Genomic DNA, 1,896 nt, shown 5'->3' with positions numbered 1-1,896 from the left:
CAATTGCATTTACTCAAATATCACAGTGATATTAGAAAAATAATATGTGAATTTCTCTGCCTGTGCTATAACAATGAAAATCCAACATTATGCATATGCATACATGCACTTTTTACTCTATTCAATACTATCTATTCAGGGAGTAAAAACAAATTTTCCCTTTCATTGTAAAATAAACACATATCCTATTTAATTCACCTAGTTTTCAATTAAGAATTCTTTAAATAGTTATTCAGAAACCCAAACTGATGGAACATATTTTAGTATTATAGTATGGTACTTTAGAGAAAATTACTAAAACTAGCATGAGAATGACAAAGGCTTAGATCCACTGAAAGAGGCATTGGTAGCACAGAAAAAAATGGCATGCACATTAAAATAAAAATAAAGAGTAAATGTGACCCAAGGTAACAGAAACCTTGAGAAAGGACCATAAAAAACAAACAAAAACCTTCTGTGGTTTAGGTGGCAAAGAAAGTATTTAGTTGCCAAATATTCAGTTTCAGGAGCTATGCTTGTTATTGAATAACTTTCTAGGTCAGTCACATGGAACTGCTCGGTTGTTCAGATAGACAAACATTCTGGGAAGGGACGGTAGTCATGGTAAGTAGTCACAAGTTGAAAGCCATCTGAGGCAGGCATAGGCATTGGGAACGTTTCTGACAAGGACAAGGAGACAGAATGGTTTGAGTGTTGTCAAGAGAGGATAAATGCAAATGGAATTGTTAGAGACTTAAAAAACCCAGATTTAAGTTACATTCAGCATCAGCTCTTATCTCAGTAGGGAATGAACAAGGCTTCTAGCCAAGGAGGTTTTAAAAGCACAGGAAAATTGAAGAAATATGTTGCAGAACAAAAGAACAAGCCTTGTGACTGGTGAATACTGGCTGGAAGTGACAGAAGCTGGAGGGACTGAATGATGTTGAGTTTTCCATCTGGGTAGTATTAAAATGACGTTAATGAAAAGAGAAGCAGGAAAGGCAAGACATGGACTCTTATAAGGAATCATAATGACATAAATCAAAGAAAAATAGAAAGTAAAGTGAAATGTAATGCTAAGCAACACATCGTTATTAAATCATTTTAAGTTTAAGAAATTGATTAATTGATGCAAGTGATTCAAATATAAGAAATATTTCTAGAACTGTTTCTATTATTACTATTTTCTTAAATGACAGAATTGAGTTTTAAAGATACTCTAAACATGACATTATGAGAATATACTCATATAATAATATATACCTCATAGTTCTCTACCAGTCCTAACATTTTTAAAAGTTTAATCATAAGTATTAATACTTTTTTATTTTTATTTTTATTTTTTATTTTGTAGATGGAATCTCACTCTGTCACCCAGACTGGAGTGCAGTGGCGCAATCTCGGTTTACTAAAACCTCCGCCTCCCAGGTTCGAGTGATTTTCCTGCTTCAGCCTCCCAAGTAGCTGGGATTCCAGGCACCCAACACCATGCTCGGCTAATTTTTGTATTTTTAGTAGAGACAAGGTTTCACCATGTTGGCCAGGCTGGTCTCAAACTCTTGACCTCAGGTAATCCGTCCCCCGCAGCCTCCCAATGTGCTGACATACAGGCGTGAGCCACCGCGCCCGGGCAATATTTTATTAATACTTTGGTATTTTTTCCTTGTATTGTACTTCCAAGTGATGAAACTTACTTTGAAGTTTTCCCAGAAAGGTTTTCTTTCTCTCTGATGACATTAGAATTATTGAAAGATTGAATCTTGACTGTAAAATTAACAGATTGTTAAAAGGCATCTAAATCTTTTCAGATAGAATTAATAATTCATGTTCATTTCCATTCTTTGGTTGTGGAAGTGATTCTGGTTGTTAACAGTTCATTCAAGGAAGAAATAAGAGAAACAAAAGTTACTATAAAAT

The sequence above is a fragment of the Homo sapiens genome, chromosome 4 (genome assembly GCF_000001405.40).
Source record: "Homo sapiens chromosome 4, GRCh38.p14 Primary Assembly".
NCBI lineage: Eukaryota > Metazoa > Chordata > Mammalia > Primates > Hominidae > Homo > Homo sapiens.
This window is presented reverse-complemented; position numbering follows the sequence as displayed.